Here is a 20,691-nt window from a genome sequence, read left to right as displayed (position 1 = left end):
ATCACAGGGCTGTGGAAACCCCCAGCGGTCCTGGGAGTAATATCATCCTCTCTCCCTCTGAAAATAGGAAGATTTTCACAGGGGTGTGTTCAAGCCCTGCAATATTGGCAGTAAGATCATCCTCTCCACCCAGGAAATGACTAACAAGGTCACGGGGGGATGTACTCCCGGTGCGGAGAGTGAGAGCCAGCCCCTCTTGCCCGCCTGGCTCTTAGGACCCGCGATGGACTCACAGCCTGTTTATCGTATTGTGAGTAATATCATCTCCCGCTCTGGGGATTTTGAACTGTTTCACAGACCGGTGTACACCCTTTGTGTACAGAGGTTGTACACCGGTCTGTATTGGGAGTCATATCATCCTCTTCCTCCCTCAATATTAGGAACAATATCACAGGGGTGTTTCTACTCCCTGGGATATCGGGTGTCATGTCCTCCACTTCCACGTTGCAATTAGAAACAATATCATTGGGGGCGTGTCCACCTTCTGTGATATTGAAACTAATATTATCCTCTACTTTCCAGGATCATGGGAACGATATCCTTGGGGGTGTCCACTTTCTGCCATATATGTTGTCATATCATGTCCTGCTCCTTGGAATATTTTTAAAGACCATCTCATACGGGGGTGTACACTTCCTGCGATGTTGGGGGTAATAGCATGCTCTTCTTCTGTGAATATTAGGAGCAAATTCACCGGGTGGATGCACACCCAGTGCTATATTGTGAGTAACGTCATACTCCACCCCCTGGAGATTATATTTGGATCAATATCACCGGTGGGTGTACACGTACTGCGATATTGAACGTAATATCATGCTCTCTCTCTCCCTGGACATTAGGAGCAATATCACAGGTGGGTGTGCACCCACTGAGGTATTAGGGAGTAATATTACTATGAATTATTCCTCATTTATTATTAACATGAATATGAATGACCGATATTAATATTCATATTAAATAATTGCTAATAAAAAGTTTTCCCAATATTAATATTAACTATTAGGGGCTAATATGACTGTTTTCTAATGAATAAGGTCAATATCAGTTATTAATATCAGGCATCATTAATCATTAATATTAATCATTTATTGTTATCGTTAGTATAACTCTCTAATATTAATTATCATTATTATCGGTGTTGATTTTTAAAATTATATTATCGGTTATTAATATTGATAATTAGTAGTGTCAATTAATAAGTGAGATTATTAATTGCGGTAAGTCGCATTGCGCCATTCCACCCCTCCCTTGGCAGCTCGTTTGAGACGCAAAACGGGGACACAAATGCCCCTGAGAGAGCAGCGGTATACTGGGATAGATGAGGATGGTCACGTGGTGGAGAGGCGTGCTTTTGGCTACCAGCCCTTCACCTGTGTCGACCTTCTCAACTGGAAAAACAATACACCGCCCTATACCGAAAAGCCACAAGCCCTAATTGATTTTCTCCAAGCTGTTATCCAGACCCACAGCCCCACCTTGGCTGATTGGCACCAGTTGCTCGTGTTCCTCTTTAACAGCGAAGAAAGGCGGAGAGTCCTCCAAGCAGCAACTAAGTGGCTAGAGGAACATGCACCAGCTGATTATCAAAACCCCCAAGAGCATGGAAGGACCCAGTTGCCAGGAACAGACCCCCATTTGGACCCACATGAAAGAGAGGATATGCAAAGGCTAAATGAGACAGGGAAGCTCTCTTGGAAGGATTAATGAGGGGAGCTCAGAAGGCCACGAACGTTAACAAGCTCTCTGAGGTCATTCAGGGAAAAGAAGAAAGTCCGGCACAATTCTACGAGAGACTGTGTGAGGCCTATCGTATGTATACTCCCTTTGATCCCGATAGCCCTGAAAATCAGCGTATGATTCACATGGCTTTAGTCCGTCAAAGCGCAGAAGACATGAGAAGAAAACTGCAGAAACAGGCTGGGCTTGCAGGGATGAATCCATCACAATTACTAGAAATAGCTAGCCAGGTGTTTGTAAACAGGGATGCAGTAAGCCCTAAGGAAAATGGCAAAGAGAATGGAGGTCAGGCCCGGTGACACGTCGACCTGTTTGTCAGCTGCAGCAATCAGAGGGGCCCCCCCAAAGAGGCAAGGGAAGGGGGGTCCTGGGAAGGAAACTCAGCTTGGCTGTCAGAGTTTGCAGCGTAACCAGTGTGCTTATTGTAAAGAAATAGGACAGTGGAAGAACAAATGCCCTCAGCTCAAAAGAAAACAAGGTGACTCAGAGCAGGAGGCCCCGGACAAGGAGGAAGGGGCCCTGCTCAACCTGGCAGAAGGGTTCTTGGACTGAGGGAGACCGGGCTCAAGCGTCCCCAAAGAGCCTGTGGTCAGAATGACAGTCGGGGGTGGAGACATTGACTTTCTTGTAGATAGCGGTGCTGAACATTCGCTAGTAACCGCCCCGGTCGCCCCCTTATCCAAAAAGACTATTGACGTCATCGGAGCAATGAGGGTTTCAACAAAGCAAGCTTTCTGCTTGTCTTGGACTTGTACTGTAGGAGGACATTCAGTCATTCATCAGTTTTGGTACATGCGTGACTGTCCCTTGACCTTTTTGGGAAAGGACTTGCTCAGCAAGCTGAGAGCCACTATCTCTTTGACAGAGCACAGCTCTTTGCTGCTAAAGTTACCCGGAGCGGGAGTCATTGTGACCCTTATGTTCCCCCGAGAGGAGGAATGGAGACTTTTCTTAACTGAGCCGGGCCAAGAGAGAAGACCAGCTCTGACTAAGCGGTGGCCAAGAGTACGGGCAGAAGACAACCCTCCGGGATTGGCCAGTTAAGATTGGGGCCCAGCCGGTGAGGAAAAAGCGGGACCCGGTCCCCAGAGAAGCCCTTCAAGGTATCCAGGTCCGTCTCAAGCACCTAAGAACTTTTGGAATTATTGTTCCTTGTCAGTCTCCATGCAACACTCTCCTCCTGCCTTTTCCCAAGCCACGGACCAAGGACTACAGTCAGGTACAGGATTTGCGCTTGCTTCATCAAGCTACACTGACTTTCCATCCAACAGTACCTAACCCGTCCACATTGTTGGGTTTGCTGCCAGCTAAGGACAGCGGGTTCACCTGCTTGGACCCGAAAGACGCTTTCTTTCCTATCAGATTAGCCCCAGAGAGGCAGAAGCTGTTTGCCTTTCAGTGGGAAGATCCGGAGCCAGGTGTCACTACTCAGTACACTTGGACCGGGCTTCCACAAGGGTTCAAGAACTCCCCCACCATCTTCGGGGAGGCGTGGGCTCGAGACCTCCAGAAGTTTCCCAGCAGAGACCTAGGCTGCGTGTTGCTCCAGTAGGTTGATGACCTTCTGCTGGGACACCCCACGGCAGTCGGGTGTGCCAAGGGAACAGATGCCCTACATTGGCACCTGGAGGACTGTGGGTGTAAGGTGTCCAAGAAGAAAGCTCAGATCTGCCGACAGCAGGTACGTTCCTTGGGATTGACTATCTGACGGGTGGGAACGCAGCCCGGGATCAGAATGAAAGCAGGTCATTTGCAATCTAGCAGAGCCTAAGAGCAGAAGGCAGGTGAGAGAATTCTTAGGAGCTGTGGGGTTTCGTAAACTGTGGATCCCAAACTTTGCAGTATTAGCCAAGACTTTGTATGAGGTCACAAAGGGGGCGGGGACGAGGAACCTTTGGAATGCAGATCCCAACAACAGCAAGGCTTTCATGAGTTAAAGGAAAAACTTCTGGCAGCCCCAGCCCTGGGGCTACCCGATCTGACAAAGCCTTTTCCACTGTATGCATCAGAGAGAGAAAAGATGGCTGCTGGACTTTGAACCCAAACTGTGGGGCCCAGGCCTAGGCGGGTGGCCTACCTCTCTAAACGACTAGACGGGGTTTCTAAAGGATGGCCCCCCTGTTGGAAGGCCTTGGCAGCAACTGCCCTGCGAGTACAAGAAGCAAATAAGCTGACTCTTGAGCAAAACCTGAACATAAAGGCCTCCCGTGCTGTGGTGACTTTAATGAATACTAAAGGACATCATTGGCTAACGAATGCCAGACTCACCCAGTACCAGACTTGGCTCTGTGAAAATCCCCGTATAACCATTGAAGTTTGTAACAGCCTACACCCCGCCACCTTGCTCCCGGTATCAGAGAGCCCCGTCGAGCCTCGTTGTGTAGAAGTGTTGGACACAATTGACTCTAGCAGACCTGACCTCCGGGGCCAGCCTTGGGCATCAGTAGACTGGGAACTATACGTGGATGGGAGTAGCTTCTTCAACCCCCAAGGAGAGAGAGGTGCAGGGTGTGCAGTGATAACCCTGGACACTGTTGTTGAAGCCAGATCGTTGTCCCAGGCCACATCAGCCCAGAAAGCTGAACTCATTGCTTTCATTCGGGCCTTAGAACTCAGTGAGGGTGAGACTGTCAACATTTACACTGATTCTCGGTATGTCTTTTGAACCCTTCAAGTGCATGGAGTGTGATAGAAAGAAAAAGGCCTATTGAACTCTTGGGGGAAAGACAGAAAATGTCAACAAGAAATCTTGCAATGATTAGAAGCAGTATGGAAACCCCACAAGGTGGCAGTTATGCATTGCAGGGGACACCAGCGAGCTTCCACCTTGCTGGGTTTGGGGAATTCCCGCGCTGACTCAGAGGCTCGAAAAGCAGCATCTGCCCCCTTCGGGGCAGCAGTGTTCCCTCAAGCACCTGATCTTGGACCTACTTCTTCTAAAGAAGAAAAGGACTTTCTCCAGGTAGAGGGAAGGACAAGTGATGGAGGAAGGATGGATTCGGTTACCGGATGGGAGAGTAGCTGTGCCACAGCTGCTAGGAGCTGCAGTTGTACTGGCTGTGCAAGAAACCACCCATCGACATCAGGAGTCACTGGAAAAGTTGTTAGGCCGGTATTTCTACATCTCGCCTTTGTCAGCTCTTGCCAAAACGGTGAGGCAGCGGTGTGTTACCTGCCGACAGCATGATGCGAGGCAAGGTCCAGCCGTTCTGCCTGGCATAGGAGCTTATGGAGCAGCCCCCTTTGAAGGTCTCCAGGTGGACTTCACAGAGATGCCAAAGTGTGGAGGTAACAAGTATGTACTAGTTCTTGTGTGTACCTACTCTGGGTGGGTGGAGGCTTATCCAACGCTAACTGAGAAAGCTCGTGAAGTAACCCGTGTGCTTCTTCGAGACCTGATTCCTAGATTTCGACCGCCCTTACGGATCGGCTCAGACAAGGGGCCTGCGTTTTTGGCTGCCTTGTTACAGAAGACGGCAAAGGTATTGGGAATCACACGGAAAATGCATGCCGCCTCCCGACCTCAGCATTCCGGAAAGGTGCAGTGGACGAATCGGACTATCAAAAATAGTACTATTGTCTTCCCCGCTGGATATGTAAAACAACACCAGAAGGGGCGTCAAACCAACTGCTAAATTTGAGGGAATGTTCTCCTCTCCCCACCTACCCTGGCCCCGGATATTAGAGACAATAACACTGGGGTGATGTACACCCACTGCTTTATTGGGAGTAATATCATCCTCTCCCTTCCTGGATATTAGGAACAATATCACACTGTGCGTGTACGCCGGTCGCGAAATTCAATGGAATGTCATCCTGCTCCTCTGTGGATATGACGAACAATATCAAGGGGGATGTACAACTTCTGAGATATTGGGAGTGATATCATCCTCTTCCCTCTGGAAGTTAGGGACAGTATTATCACAGGGGTAGTGTACACCCTCTGGGATGTTGGGACTAATATCATCCTCCCGCCCACTGGATATTAAAAACCATATCACAAGGGGCGTGTACACACACTTCGATATTGGTATGAATACCATCCTGTCCCTCTTTGGATATTCGGTGCCATATATCAGGTGGGGTACACAACACCTGCAATATTGGAAGTAATATGATTTTCTCTCCCCCATCAGACACAATATCACAGGGGGTTGTGAACAACCCCAGAGATATTTGGAGTCATATCATCATCTCCCCTCACGATTATTAAGAGCAATATCGTAGGGGTGGGGGATGTACACCCGCTTTCATATTTGATATCATCCTCTTCCCCCCTGGATATTAGGAGCAATATCAGGAAGGGATGCACAGACCCTGCGACCTTTGCTGTCATATAATTCTCTCTCCCCTAGATATTAGGAAAAAATGTCACTGGGGATGTGAACAGTCCTGCGATATTGAGAGTAGTATCATCATCTCCCCCCTTGGATATTGGGAACAACATCACAGGTGGGGTGTACTGCCTCTGTCATATTGGGAGTGAAACTTTCCTCTCTTCCCCTGGACATTAGGAAGGGTATCAGAGGCGGATGGTGTACATTACCTGCGATATTTAATGTAACCTTATTCTCTCCCTCCCAGGGTATTCAGAACAATATTACAGGAGGGGTGTACACCCTCTGCGATATTGAGAGTCATATCATCCTCTTTCGCTCTGGATGTTAGGAACAATATCACAGGGTTGTGTACACCCCCTGCGATATTGGGAGTCATATCATCCTCTCTCCCTGTGGATATTAGGAAGAGTATCACAGGGCTGTGGATACCCCCTGCGGTACTGGGAGTAATACTATCCTCTCTCCCTCTGAAAATAGGAAGATTTTCACAGGGGTGTGTACTCCCCCTGCGATATTGGGAGTAATGTCGTCCTCCCCAAACCTGGATGTTAGCAACGAGATCACAGAGGGGGTGTACACACCCTGCGACATTGGAAGTAATATGATCCTCTCCCCACCTGGATACTGGGAAAGATACCACAGCGTGGGTATACGTTTGCTACGCTGTTGGGAGTAATATCATTCTTTTCCTTTCGGGATATTAGGAAGAATATCACAGGGGTGCTGTACAATTACTTCGACATTGGGAGTAATATCATCCTCTATTTTCCTGGATATTGGGCACAAAAACACAAAAGGGTGTACAACCCCTGCGATATTGGAAGTAATAGCATACTCTCCTTCCCTGGATGTTAGAAAACAATATCATCAGGGCTGAACACCCCCCGCAATAATGGGAGTCATGTTTACTCTTTCACAGGCCATTTGGAACAATATCACAGGGGGTGTTTACAAACAGGGGTGGTGTACACCCCCTGTGATATTGGGAGTAACATCATTCTCTCCACCTCCGGATATTAAGAACAATATCCCGGCGGGAGGTGGTACACCCCCAGTGATATTGCGAATAATGTCATCCTCTCCTTTCCTGGATATTAGGAACAATATCACAGGGAGGTGTACGCCTTCTGTGATATTGAAAGCAATGTCATCCTCTCCCCTGCTGGGTATTAGAAAAAAATATCACTCACGGTGTACACCCACTGTGATATGAGGAGTAATATCTTCCTAGGGTATTACGAATAATTTCACAGTCTGTACGCTCATGGTGTACACTCACTGTGATATTAGGAGTAACATCTACCTAGTGGATGACAAATAACATCGCAGGGTGTACACCCACTTTGATATTAGCTGTAATATTTTTCTAAGTTGTTACAAATAAGATCACAGAGTGTACAAACATGGTGTACACTCACTGTGATATCAGGAGTCGTATCTCTGTAATATATTATGAATAATATCACAGGCTGTACACCCACTGTATTATTAGGAGTAATATCTCTGTAGGATATTACAATTAATATCACAGGGTGTAGAGCCACTGTGATATTAGGAGCAATATCTTTCTAGGATATTACAAATAATATCACAGGGTGTACCCCCACTCTGCTGTCAGGAGCAATATCTCTCCAGGATATCAAAAATCCTATCACAGGTTGTCCAATCTCTGCCTTCCAGGTTCTAAGGGATTCTCCTGCTTCAGCCTCCCGAGTAGCTAGGGTTAGCCGCCACAAGGCCCGGCTAATTTTTTTTTAATTTTCACTGGAGGCGGGGTTTCACCACATTGGCTAGGCTGGTCTGGAACTCCTGACCTTAGGTGATCCATCAGCCTCGGCAGCCCAAAGTGCTGGGATTACAGGTGTGAGCCATGGTGCTGGGCCAACAGTTAAATATTCAATTCATTTGGAAACACAGCTCCCATCTTTGAGCGTGCATCTACTTTTATGAAGAAATGATGTCAGACAACTGAAGGATGATAATAAATATGAAAAGTAACAGGCATGTGAAAAGATCTCCGATTGAGAACTATAAGGTTCAATGTCGTTTTCAGATAATGGGGTCCTAGCTCTTGTGTCGTCCTTTTACATATTCTACATCAGTGGAAGCTGTAGCACGGTGTCAGAATAAAGTAGAGTGTATTTCATGGCTTCTTAATTCCTTTCAATTAGACTGAGATCTTTTTCTTAAAGAGAGAAGGACATTGTCATTGCATTGTATTTTTTCAGAAAAGAGTAGGCCGTATTTTACTGAGATCACGGATTTGTTATATATGATGTTTTGGTCTTCTAATATTCTTCAGTGGATTTTCTCTAAAGTAGTATGTATAGAAAGCCTTGTATAGCCAAAAAGGAAATCACGTAATAATTCTGAGATTTTTGGAATTGTCACAACTGAGAAACATTGCTGGCGGTGTATGGTCCGCAAGAGTGAAGATGTTCCTTGTGAATTGCTTGCATCCAGCATTAAGGGCTGGTTTTTATCTTTTATTTTTCCAATCCTCTTTCCTTCTCAAGGTGTCCAAGACACACAGAGCCACGGAATCACACAGGGGTCTGAGAATTTCTCCTCCTGGGACTCTCAGAGGATCCAGAACTGCAGCCGGTCCTCGCTTTGCTGTCCCTGTCCCTGTCCATGTATCTGGTCACGGTGCTGAGGAACCTGCTCAGCATCCTGGCTGTCCGCTCTGACTCCCCCCTCCACAACCCCATGTACTTCTTCCTCTCCAACCTGTGCTGGGCTGACATCGGTTTCACCTCGGCCACGGTTGCCAAGATGATTGTGGAATGCAGTCGCATAGCAGAGTCATCTCTCATGCGGGCTGCCTGACGCAGATGTCTTTCTTGGTCCTTTTTGCATGTATAGAAGGCATGCTCCTGACTGTGATGGCCTATGACTGCTTTGTAGCCATCTGTCGTCCTCTGCACTACCCAGTCATCGTGAATCCTCACCTCTGTGTCTTCTTCGTTTTGGTGTCCTTTTTCCTTAGCCTGTTGGATTCCCAGCTGCACAGTTCGATTGTGTTACAATTCACCATCATCAAGAATGTGGAAATCTCTCATTTTGTCTGTGACCCCTCTCATCTTCTCAAACTTGCCTGTTCTGACAGCGTCATCAATAGCATATTCATATATTTCGATAGTACTATGTTTGGTTTTCTTCCCATTTCAGGGATCCTTTGGTCTTACTATAAAATCGTCCCCTCCATTCTAAGGATTTCATCATCAGATGGGAAGTATAAAGCCTTCGCCACCTGTGGCTCTCACCTAGCAGTTGTTTGCTGATTTGATGGAACAGGCATTGGTATGTACCTGACTTCAGCTGTGGCACCACCCCCTAGGAATGGAGTGGTGGCATCAGTGATGTAGGCTGTGGTCACCCCCATGCTGAACCTTTTCATCTACAGCCTGAGAAACAGGGACATACAAAGTGCCCTGCGGAGGCTGCTCAGCAGAACAGTCGAATTTCATGATCTGTTTCATTCTTTTTCTTGTGTGGGTGAGAAAGGGCAACCACATTAAATCTCTACATCTGCAAACCCTGCCCCTTAGTCACTTTCTTTTTGTGGCTTGATGGCTTTTATTCCTTTCCCCATTTCCTTTGTGAATATTGTTTTCTTCGTTATGCCTTTTACTGGAATGGGTGAGGATTCTGGGATCCTTTGTTTAGCAGAAACCTCATGACAGAATCCTCTATACCTAGGTGGCCTCTTTTACTTTCTGAGCAATAACCTGTCATCCAGGTGGAATCACAAACATCTTTTTATATACAAGAAGTCCTCACTTCGTTTTGGAATTCCCTGAAAACTGACTTTATGGAAACAATGTACAGGAGGTCCTCCAACACCATTGGTTGTTCAAAGTTGTGTAGTTATACTGTTGATGAAAAATAAGTGGTTTCACTATATATAATTTTGCTTCAAGGTGAAGTTTCCAAGAGACTTTCAAAGATGTTAAGTGAGGACATATTCTTCATCATATTCATATCCTCTTCCACAGTTCATGTGGAATTTCTTTATAAACTGCTTCTAGAGAATCTGTTTAGGCAGGTTATGTGGAGATCCATGTCGCCGTTCCTCAATCTTGGCTTTGAGTCAACTCACCTTGGGAGCTTACAAATGATGAGGCCTGGGTCTCAATGCCTGAGATTCTCATTTTCTTGCACCTGTGTGAGAATGTGGATTTTTTTTTTCTTTTAAAGGACCAGAGGTGGTTCCAATGATGAAGTTTTTAGGGGCATCAAGCTCCAATGAGTAAGAACAGAAAATAATTGTAATATGATTTCTCAAATATTATCTTCAAATGCATTGTCCATCAACACCACACAAATGTTTATTATGCCATTTTTTCTTACCATTTCGCATTTTCCATTTCTTTCTTTTCCTTATTTTTTGGGTCAGAGTTTCACTCTTGTTTTCCAGGCTGAAGTTCAATGACACGATCTCGGCTCACTGCAACCTCTGCCTCCCATATTCAAGCAATTCTCCTGTCTCAGCCTTCCAAGTAGCTGGGATTACAGGCATGCGCTAACATGCCTGGCTAATTTTTTTTTTTTTTTTGTATTGTTAATAGAGACAGTGTTTCTCCATTTTGGTCAGGCTCGTCTTGAACTCACGACCTCAGGTGATCCGGCCGTTTCCGCCTCGCAAAGTGCTGGGATTACAGGCATGAGCGACCGCGCCCAGCCACCACTTAGCATTTACATTTTACATTTGTTGAAGTTATAGATTTATACACACATTGATTGCTGCTTTGTTATACACTTGCATATACATAAGATGGGAAATAGAAAAGAACAAAATGGGCACAGTATCCCTGAAGTTTCACATTCCGAGACATTTTAAAAATATTTGCTCTTCAGAAATTTGTTTCAATGAAGAAACTGTGGTATACACACCCAGTGAAGTATTATTCAGCCTAAAAAGGAAGAAACTCCTCTCCGCTGCAGACAAAATGGATGAGATTGCAGGTCTGTATATTAAATGAAATAAGCCATGCACAGAATGACAAATATTTCAAGTCCTCACTTCTATGTAGGAAGAAAAAAGGAAACCTTGGCCAGGTGTGGTGGCTCAGGCCTGTAATCCCAGCACTCCGGGAGGCCGAGTCGCACGGATCACTTGAGTCCAGGAGTTCGAGACCTGCCTGGCCAACATGGTGAAACCCCGTCTCTACGGAAAACACAAACAATGAGCCGGGCGTGGTGACGCGTGCCTGTAGTCTCAGCTACTCCGAGGGCTGAGGCCCAAGAAGCACTTGAACTCAGGAGGCGGAGCTTGCAGTGTGCCGTATTGTGCCTGCGTACTCCAACCTGGGCAACAGAAAGAGACTCCATCACACACCTACACACAAAAGGAATCTCAGGAAGGTGGAAAAAGGTGGTTAGCAGACACTGGGAAGAAAAGGGGTGGGTTAGGGAATGAAGACAAGTGGATAATTGGGTCCCAAAATACAGAAAGATGGAATAAGTGAGTTCTAGTGTTTGATAGTACAGTATGAAAATTTTAGTTCACAAGAATTTCTTGCATCTTTCCAGATGCTTTGGTAAGAAGCTTCCTAACTTTCTCATTATGCTGGTTTTTAAGCTCTTCTCTTTCTGCTCTTGAAATCATGCTGGTTTTTTGTTTTGTTTTTTTTTTTTGTTTGTTTGTTTTGAGATGGAGTTTCGCTCTTGTTGCCCAGGCTGGAGCGTCACGGTGCAATCTTGGCTCACCGCAACCTCTGCCTCCTGGGTCCAAGCGATTCTCCTGCCTCCACCTCCCGAGTAGCTGGCATTACAGGCATGTGCCAGCACGCCCAGCTAATGTTGTATTTGTAGCAGAGATGGGGGTTTCTCCCTGTCGGTCAGGCTGGTCTTCAACTCCTGACCTCAGGTGATCCGCCTGCCTCGGCCTCCCAGAGGCTCAGATTACAGGCATGAGCGACCGCGCCCGGCCCATGCTGTATCCTTATCTGTTGTCTGTTGTTGTTTGTTTCTTTTGGAGCCCAGAAATAACTTCTCACCTATGTGTTCAAATGATCTTTCACATGAGTGCTAAGAAAGCTCATTGGTGGAAAAGCAATCTTTTCAAGAATAGGTGTTGGAGAAACTTGATTTCCACATGCAGAAGAATGAAGGTGGACCCTATGTCACACCAGGTGCAAAAATTAACACAAACTGGATCAAAGACCTCACCCCAAGCGCTAAAAGTATCATACGCCTAGAAGAAAACATTGGCCACGCTTTCATGACATCAGATTGATCAATGTTCTCTGGGATATGACACCAAAAGCATAGGCAACAAAAGAAAATTAGATTCCTTGGATTACATCTAAATGACAGACACTTTTGTGCAGCAAAAAACACTGCGAACTGAGTGAAAAGATAACCCATGGATTAGGAAAAATATTTGCAAAGCATATATCTGAAAAGAGGCTGATATCCATCATATATAAAGAACAGCTAGAACTAAACACCAAGAAACCCAAAGCATCCCATCAACAATGGTCAGAAGACTCGAGTAGACGTCTTCCTGAAGAAGATATAGCAATGGCCAATAAGCATCTAAAATGATGTTCAAAATCACTCATCATAGGGAAGCCCAAATCAAACCAAAAATGTGATACCACACATTAGGATGGATATGATAAACAAACAAGCATTGGTGAGACTAGAGGGAGGTAGGAATGCTCGAATATGATCGGAGGGAATGTAAAACAATGAAGGAACGGGGAAAATAGTATGGCGTGTACTGGAAAAATTAGAAACAGAATGATCAGATGTTCCCGAAGTTGCATTCGTGGGTACCTACCAGAAAGAATTAGAAGCCAGGAGTGGAAGACAGATTTGTGTACACCCATATTCATAGCAGCATTATTCACAACAGCCAAAATGTGGAAGCAACCCAAGAGTTCGTGGACTGATGAATGAAAAAGCACACTGCAGTTCCTTCATATAATGGAAGACTATTCAGCCTTAAAAAGGCAGGCACTTCTGGCCAATGCGGTGGCTCACGCCTAAAATCGCAGCGTCTTGGAAGACCGAGGTGAGTGGATCACCTGAGGTCAGGAATTCAAGATCAACCTGGCCATCCTGGTGAAACCCTGTCTCTACTGAAAATGCAAAAAATCAGACGAGTGTGGTGGGGTGTGCCTATAGTACCAAGCACTCGGGAGGCTGAGGCACAAGAATGGCTGGAACCCGGGAGGCGGAGGTTGCAGTGAGCCCAGATTGTGGCGCTGCACTCCAGCCTGTGCGACAGAGTGAGACTCCATGGAAACACAAAACAAAACAAAGTCAAATGAGCAAACAAACAAACAAACAAACAAAAAACAGAGAGGCACTTCTGACGCAGGCCGCAACATGGATGAACCTTGAAAACATTATCGTCAGTGAAATAAATAAATCCCAAAAGGATAAACACGCCCAGTCTCTGTGGCTCGCACCTGTAACCCCAGCACTTGGGGAGGCTGAGCCAGGCGGATCACTTCAGATCAGGAGTTCGAGACCATCCTGGCCAATATGGTCTCTATTAAAAATACAAAAATTAGCTGGGCGTGGTAGCGCACGCCTGTAATCCCAGCTACTCGGGAGACTGAGACACAAGAATCGCTTGAACCCACGATGTGGAGGTTGCAGTGAGGCGACATCACGCCACTGCACTCCAGCCGGGGTGACAGAGAAAGACTCTGTCTCCAAAACAAAAAAATTAAACACGGTATGATTCCACTTATCTATCAAGTGTCTAGAGTAGTTAAACTCATAGAGTTGCAAACTAGAAAGGTGTCCCCCAGGGGTGGGTGAGAGAGAGGAGTGGAGAGCTTGGTGAAAGGGTGCAATTTCCATTTTGAAAGATAAAACTGTTCCGGAGACGATGGCGGTGATGGTTGCTAAACAATGTGAACGTACTTAATGTCATGAAACTGTAAACTGAAAAAGCGTGGAAACTAAATGTTTATACTGGCCATTCTATATAAACTAATATATATTTATAATTTTTAATATTTATATGTGGTATATTTTCCCATAATAAAAGATGAAAATTAAAGCAGTTGGATGTTTAAAAAGAAAAGAAAGAAGTGAAGAATACACACCAGCTTTCTCCTGATTAGAGGAAGAGCCCCAAAGCTTCTATGGACACTCACTTTTCTCTTCTTCTTCTTGCATTATTATGAGGAAATCTTTAGAGGTTGGGGAACTTGGGTGACTTTGGCTAATAAGGAGCTCTGTGCCTTGAGCACCCCAGGCCACAGAATAGTAAATAGTCAGTCTGTGCCTCCAGCCCTGCAGTGTGAGGTTCCAGTCCTGTGGGCTCCACTCCCGTCACCAGTATCAGGAGGCTCATGTCTCAACCTGTCTTCTTGCCAGCCTTGAGGCCGGAGTCTGAGCCTCCATGGTGCACCACACAGGGAGGACAGTGGACCTGTTCTCCGTGGTCATGGCCCAGCAGATGGGAAGGGCAGTTCAGTGAGTGTAGGCAAAAGAAAGAGCAATCAGACTGTTACTGTGTCTATGTAGAAAGGAAAGACATAAGAGACTCCATTTTGAGAAAGACCTGTACTTTCAACAATTGCTTTGCTGAGATGTTGTTAATGTGTAGCTTTGCCCCAGCCACTTTGACCCAACCTGAAGCTCACAAAAGCATGTGTTGTATGAAATCAAGGTTTAAGGGATCTAGGGCTGTGCAGGACGTGCCTTGTTAACAAGATGTTTCCAAGCAGTATACTTGGTAAAAGTCATCGCCATTTTCTAGTCTCAATAAACCAGGGGCACAATACACTGTGGAAAGCCACAGGGAGCCCTGCCCTTGAAAGAGGGGTATTGTCCAAGATTTCTCCCCATGTGATAGTCTGAAAAGTGGCCTCGTGGGAGGAGAAAGACCTGACCGTCCCCGAGCCCGACACCAGTAAAGGGTCTGTGCTGAGGTGGATTAGTCAAAGAGGAAAGCCTCTTGCAGTTGAGAGAGAGAAAGGCCACTGTCTCCTGCCTGCCCCTGGGAACTGAATGTCTCGGTATAAAACCCGATTATACATTTGTTCAATTCTGAGATGGGGGTAAAACTGCCCTATGGCTGGAGGTGAGACATGTTTGCAGCAATGCTGCCTTGTTATTCTTTACTCCACTGAGATGTTTGGGTGGAGAGAAACATCAATCTGGCTTACGTACACGTCCAGTCATAGTACCTTCCCTTGAACTTCCTTATGACATAGATTCTATTGCTCACCTCTTCGTTGCTGACCTTGTCCTTATTATCACCCTGCCCTCCTACTACATTCCTTTTTGCTAAAATAATAAAAATAATAATCAATAAAAACAGAGGGAACTCAGAGGCCTGTGCCAGTGCAGGTCCTTCGTATGCTGAGCGCCGGTCCCCTAGGCTCACTGTTGTTTCTCCATACTTTGTCTCTGTGTCTTATTTCTTTTCTCAGTCTCTCATCCCACCCGACTAGAAATACCCACAGGTGTGGAGGGACGGGCCACACCTTCAAGTGAGTGCTGAGGGACGGTTGGGAGCCTTGTTTTGTTTCCTCCTCAGGACAAACAGGAGAGTGCGGTGGGCAGATGGGAGGAGACCAATGTGCAAACTATCCGCTCAGCAGAGTGTGGAGTTTCTGTTCCTGGTTGTGCTGGGGATCTCAGAAATCTACTTCAAAATTTTGCTACCCTCCCCCACTGGTTGTCCTTTTCATAGACATCTCACCCACGGTAGCAGGGAATGAGTCCCTCTAAACTATTCCCTCAGGAATAGTAAAAGCCAGCCCCTCTTCCCCCCTTGTCTCTTAGGACCCCCATCGCAGGGGGGTGAGGCACCCATCGCGATGCGGGGAGTAAGAGCCTGCCCCTCTTCCCCCCGTGGTTTTTAGGATCGGCGGTGGACTCACAGCCTGTTTACCACATTGTGAGTAATATCATCTCCCCTCTGGAAATTGTGATCTATTTCACAGACGGGTGTACACCCGTCTGTATTGGGAGTAATATCATCCTCTTCCTCCCTGAATATTAAGAACAGTATCACAGGGGTATTTCTACTCCCTGCGTTATTCGGTGTCATATCCTCCTCTCCCACGTTGCAATTAGAGACAATATCAGTGGGGGCGTGTCCACCTTCTGTGATATTTAAAGTAATGTCATCCTCTTCCCTCCAGGATCATGGGAACAATATCCCTGGGGGGTGTCCACTTTCTGCGATATATGTAGTCATATCACCCCCTACGCCTTTGAATATTACGAAGGACCATCTCACACGGGGGTGTACACTTCCTGCGATATTGGGAGTAATATCAACCTCTCGGCCTCTGAATATGAGGAAGAAAATCACAGGGTGGGTGTACACCTCCTGCTCTATTATGGGGAGTCATATCTATCTGTTATGGAGAGTAATATCATCCTCTCCCTTTCAGGATATTAATAACAATATCACAGGGTGGGTGAACACAGCCTGCGATGCTGGAATTATTATCACCCTCTCCTCCTCGGGATACTAGGAACAATATCACAGAAGAGGTGTACACTCCCTGCGATACTGGGAGTAATATCATATGCTTCTTCCGTGAATATTAGGAGCAATATCACCGGGTGGCTGTACATTCATTGCTATGTTGGCAGTCATGTCATACTCCACCCGCTGGATATTAGGATCAGTGTCACAGGGTGAGTGTACACCTATTGCGATATGAAAACTAATATCATGCTCTCCATCCCTGGATATTAGGAACAATATCGCAGGTAGGTGTACACCCCCTGCTGTATTAGGAGTAATAATACTATGAATTATTAAACATCAGTCTCATTAATGATTATCAATGGTAATATTAATTAATAGTATAATTTTATTAGTCATTAATGATTATTTTAAAGATATGATTATGCATGATTAAAATTAATTCTTACTATGAATGTCATTTTTAATATTAGTTATTAATATTAATATTAATCATTGTTTTATTACCAACATCACTTATGATGGATTTAAGTAACATTAATTAGTGATATCATTATTTTATTATTAATATTGATATTGCTGTTAATTATTAATTGTAATCATTAATATTTTTATCCACATTAAGGTTTACTGTCTCCACTGTAGTTATTAATATCAATGATTACTATTAATTGTTATTATATTTATTAATATTAATAATTAATAAAACTGTTCCTGATATCTGTGGGGGAGAGGATATGACTCCCAATATCGCAGAAAGCGTTACACTCCTCTACGATGTTACTCCTAATAGCCAGGGGGTAGAGAATGACATTATGGAAAATATCGCAGTGGGTGTACATCCCTTCGGTCATCTTGTTCCTAATATCCTGGGTGGGAGCGGATGTTACGACTCCCAAAATCGCAGTGGGCGGAGACCTCCCCCGTGATACTGTTCCGAACATCCAAAGGTGGAGAGGATATTTCTTCCAATTTCGCCGGGGGTGCTCACCACCCCTGTGATATTGATCCTAATATCCAGGGGGCGAGAGGATGATATTAGTCTGAATATTGCAGGAGGTGTACACTCCCTAGGGTTATTGTTCCTTATATCCAGGGACAGAGAGGATGATATCACTCCCAATATAGCAGGGGGTGTACACCCCTTGTGTAACATTGTTCCTAATAGGCAGCGGGGGAGAGGAGGATATTACCCCCAATATCGCAGGGGGTGTACACCCCCTTGTGACATTCTTCCTTCTATCCTGGGAGGGAGAGGAAGAAACTAGCGGCAATGTCGCAGGGGCTGTACACACCCACTGTGATATTGTTCCGAATATCCGGAGGGGGAGAAAATGATGTTACTTCCAATATCGCAGGGGGTGTACATGTTCCTGAGATATTGTTTCTTAGGTTCAGGCGGAGAGGATGATATTACTGCCAATATCGCAGGGGTTGTACACACTTCCCGCGATGCGGGGAATAAGAGCCAGCCCCTCTTCCCCTCCTGGCTCTTAGGACCCCCATTGCAGGGGGTTGAGGCACCCCCGGCCATGCGGGGAGTAAGAGCCAGTCCCTCTTCCCCCCACTGGCTCTTAGGACCCCCATCGCAGGGAGGTGAGGCACCCCCCGCGATGCGGGGAGTACAAGCCAGCCCCTCTCCCCCCTGGCTCTTAGGACCCCCATCGCAGGGGGGTGAGGCACCCCCCGCGATGTGGGGAGGGCTGAGACTGGGGTCTGGGCTGTTCCGGACTTCAACACTCACCCCTTGTCCCCCCGCAGGGCTATGGCGTGTGCTCGGTGGGGCTGGAGCGGCTGGCTTACGTCTTCGTGGCTTACAGCCTGGGCGCCTCAGCCGCCTCACTCCTGGGCCTGCTGGGCCTGTGGCTGCCACGCCCAGTGCCCCTCGTGGCTGCAGCAGGGGTGCACCTGCTGCTCACCTTCATCCTCTTTTTCTGGGCCCCTGTGCCTCGGGTCCTGCAACACAGCTGGATCCTCTGTGTGGCAGCTGCCCTTTGGGGCGTGGGCAGCACCCTGAACAAGACTGAACTCAGCAGTGAGTATAGCTGTGGGCACTGGGGGGGGGGGGGGGCGGGGCAGGATGCTTTATGGCTATCTGTGGGTGGTTGGCTAGACATAGACATCCCAGGGACAGATATGGGGTCCCATGGTCACATAGGGTCCTGTGGACATGGCAGAGGCAGGTGGGGCTTCCTGTGGACACTCCGGGGGTGGAAGGGAAGTTTCATGGACACACTGGGGGCAGATGGGTAGGGCGTGGACAGCCTGGAGACAGGTGTGGGGGTTCCACGCCATGGACATTCCGTTAATACCCCAGGGCGGGCACAGGGCCCCATCAACACTGGAGGGTCAGTGTGAAATCTCTTGGCTACAGGGGGCAGGTGTGGGGCTCTGTGGACACCCCTTAGGGATAGTGTGAAAAACACATCAGGGATTCTCCCTTTTCATACCAGGGGACAGGGCTTACCTGGCATAGTTTTCGTGACACTTGGAGCAGATGTTTTGGTCTCTGCCTCACGGAGCATGTGGTAGGAGCAAGTGGCCTGTTGTACATCCACGGCATAGATACAGACATGGGCCTTTGCATAGAGAGGAGCAGGCCTGCAGCCCCAACCCAGTCTGCTCAGTACCAGAGTCCAGGCACCAGGTCTGGGCTGCTGGGGAACAGGGCCCTGTTTGCAGAAGGCAGCGGGTGGGCCCATGTTCAGCTCCAGGATGCTCCCTGCCCACAGATGGGCACACGCAGTGACACACAGCTAGCACACATAGGCACAGTCCTGCGGGACATCCATGTCAGTGTCTGTTCTGATGGGCCGAATCTAAGAACAGGTTTGAACGTCATCCTTGGGGGTGTGGAGTGGCAGAGGTCATGCCTGCTCCTGGCAGGGCAGAGGGTGGCTCGGTGTCTCTGTCTGTAGCAGGGGCTGGAGCCTCATACTGCACCACAGTCTCTTGGCCGTTTTGCCCAAGGATAGCCAATTCTGGGCCGAGTCCATCCTGGGTATCTTGGACCCATGTTGTGCCCTCTCTGGTCATGGCATCCCCTCTGCCCAGCTCCATATCCCATCTCCTCTGGTGAACCCTGGGGGATCCTTATCTCTTCATAGCAGCACTGTGGGGGTAAAGTCACCCTGCAGGGCCCCAAGACAGGAGTGTTCATGTCCTGAGTGCCTGGTGAAGGTGTTAATAGTGGCCCCTATGATTTGGCAGGTGCCATGCCCACTTTCTCACTTTAGAACTTCAGAACACAGCACACAATAGGCATAGGCTCATGTCACCATTGGGAAAAGCAGCTCTGGGGAGTTAAGTACCCAAATCACCCACGGAGACAACATTACAGTCCTGAGAACGAGTGTGCATCTTCTGACTCCCAATCCATTACTCTTGTTGCCCACCCTGGGAGGACTCACTGGAAGGGAAGCCCCCCTTTCCATGCTTAGCTTCAGGTTTGATTTGCAGAGTTGGCAGCTGCAAACAGTTCGATCTCTCTAGTCCCGGCTGAGAAGGAGAAACAGCGCCTGCAAGCTTGGCACTGCACACCTGGGGTTGGGGACAGGACATGACTAAGCACAGAGCTTTCTTCTTTTGAGGCCACGCATGTGGTGCGGAGCGGGACCACCTGCATCCACACAGCCCGGCGCACCTGCTCCTACTTCTGCTTAGCGTATGAGCAGTGTGGTGACCAGGGTCTCCACCAGGGGGCAGGCCAGGACCGGCTCACAGCACTTTCTAGGTGCTCTCTGGTCCCGGGCTGGGACACATACAGGGCTTAATAAAGTTCATAGATGGTAGCTAGGCATCCCCAGGCCCCAGGTGACACCTATCCCCTGACTGCCCTGCACTGCCTGCCTGCAGCACTCCTGGGAATCTTGTAAGAAGACAAGGAGAGACAGGACTTCATCTTCACATCTACCACTGGTGGCAGGCTGTGGCCATCTTCCCCGTGTACCTGGGCTCGAGCCTGCACATGAAGGTGAGACTGGGCAGGGTTGGGGGCCCCATGCCCAGTGACAGGTACTTCCTTAGCCCCTGCCCTGGCTGCACAGCTTCCTAAACGCCACCCCTTCCCAAGCCAGTCTCTGGGCCAAGGCCCCATTCCTGCAGCCCACTGGGTGGCCCCCAACTCAGCACCCCACTTACTGGCCCACCTCCAGCCAGTCTCAGTTTGCCCATCTCTGAGGGGATTTGTGGGTG

General features: G+C 47.5%; 2 pseudogenes, besides 2 other annotated features; both read left to right on the top strand.

The window, feature by feature from the left end:
- On the top strand, nt 8,550-9,574 carry OR7E99P (olfactory receptor family 7 subfamily E member 99 pseudogene; annotated as a pseudogene).
- Nucleotides 11,364-11,863: an enhancer, noted in NCBI's record as "H3K4me1 hESC enhancer chr4:4155917-4156416 (GRCh37/hg19 assembly coordinates)". NCBI's record gives its function as "activates a minimal SCP1, AML or CMV promoter by ChIP-STARR-seq in naive H9 embryonic stem cells {active_cell/tissue: H9 hESC(naive)}" and the evidence as "EXISTENCE:reporter gene assay evidence [ECO:0000049][PMID:30033119]".
- Nucleotides 11,864-12,365: an enhancer, noted in NCBI's record as "H3K4me1 hESC enhancer chr4:4155415-4155916 (GRCh37/hg19 assembly coordinates)". NCBI's record gives its function as "activates a minimal SCP1, AML or CMV promoter by ChIP-STARR-seq in naive H9 embryonic stem cells {active_cell/tissue: H9 hESC(naive)}" and the evidence as "EXISTENCE:reporter gene assay evidence [ECO:0000049][PMID:30033119]".
- Nucleotides 18,258-20,480, top strand: UNC93B4 (unc-93 homolog B4 (pseudogene); annotated as a pseudogene).

This window comes from Homo sapiens, chromosome 4 (assembly GCF_000001405.40).
Source record: "Homo sapiens chromosome 4, GRCh38.p14 Primary Assembly".
Taxonomy (NCBI): Eukaryota; Metazoa; Chordata; class Mammalia; order Primates; family Hominidae; genus Homo; species Homo sapiens.
This window is presented reverse-complemented; position numbering and strand designations above follow the sequence as displayed.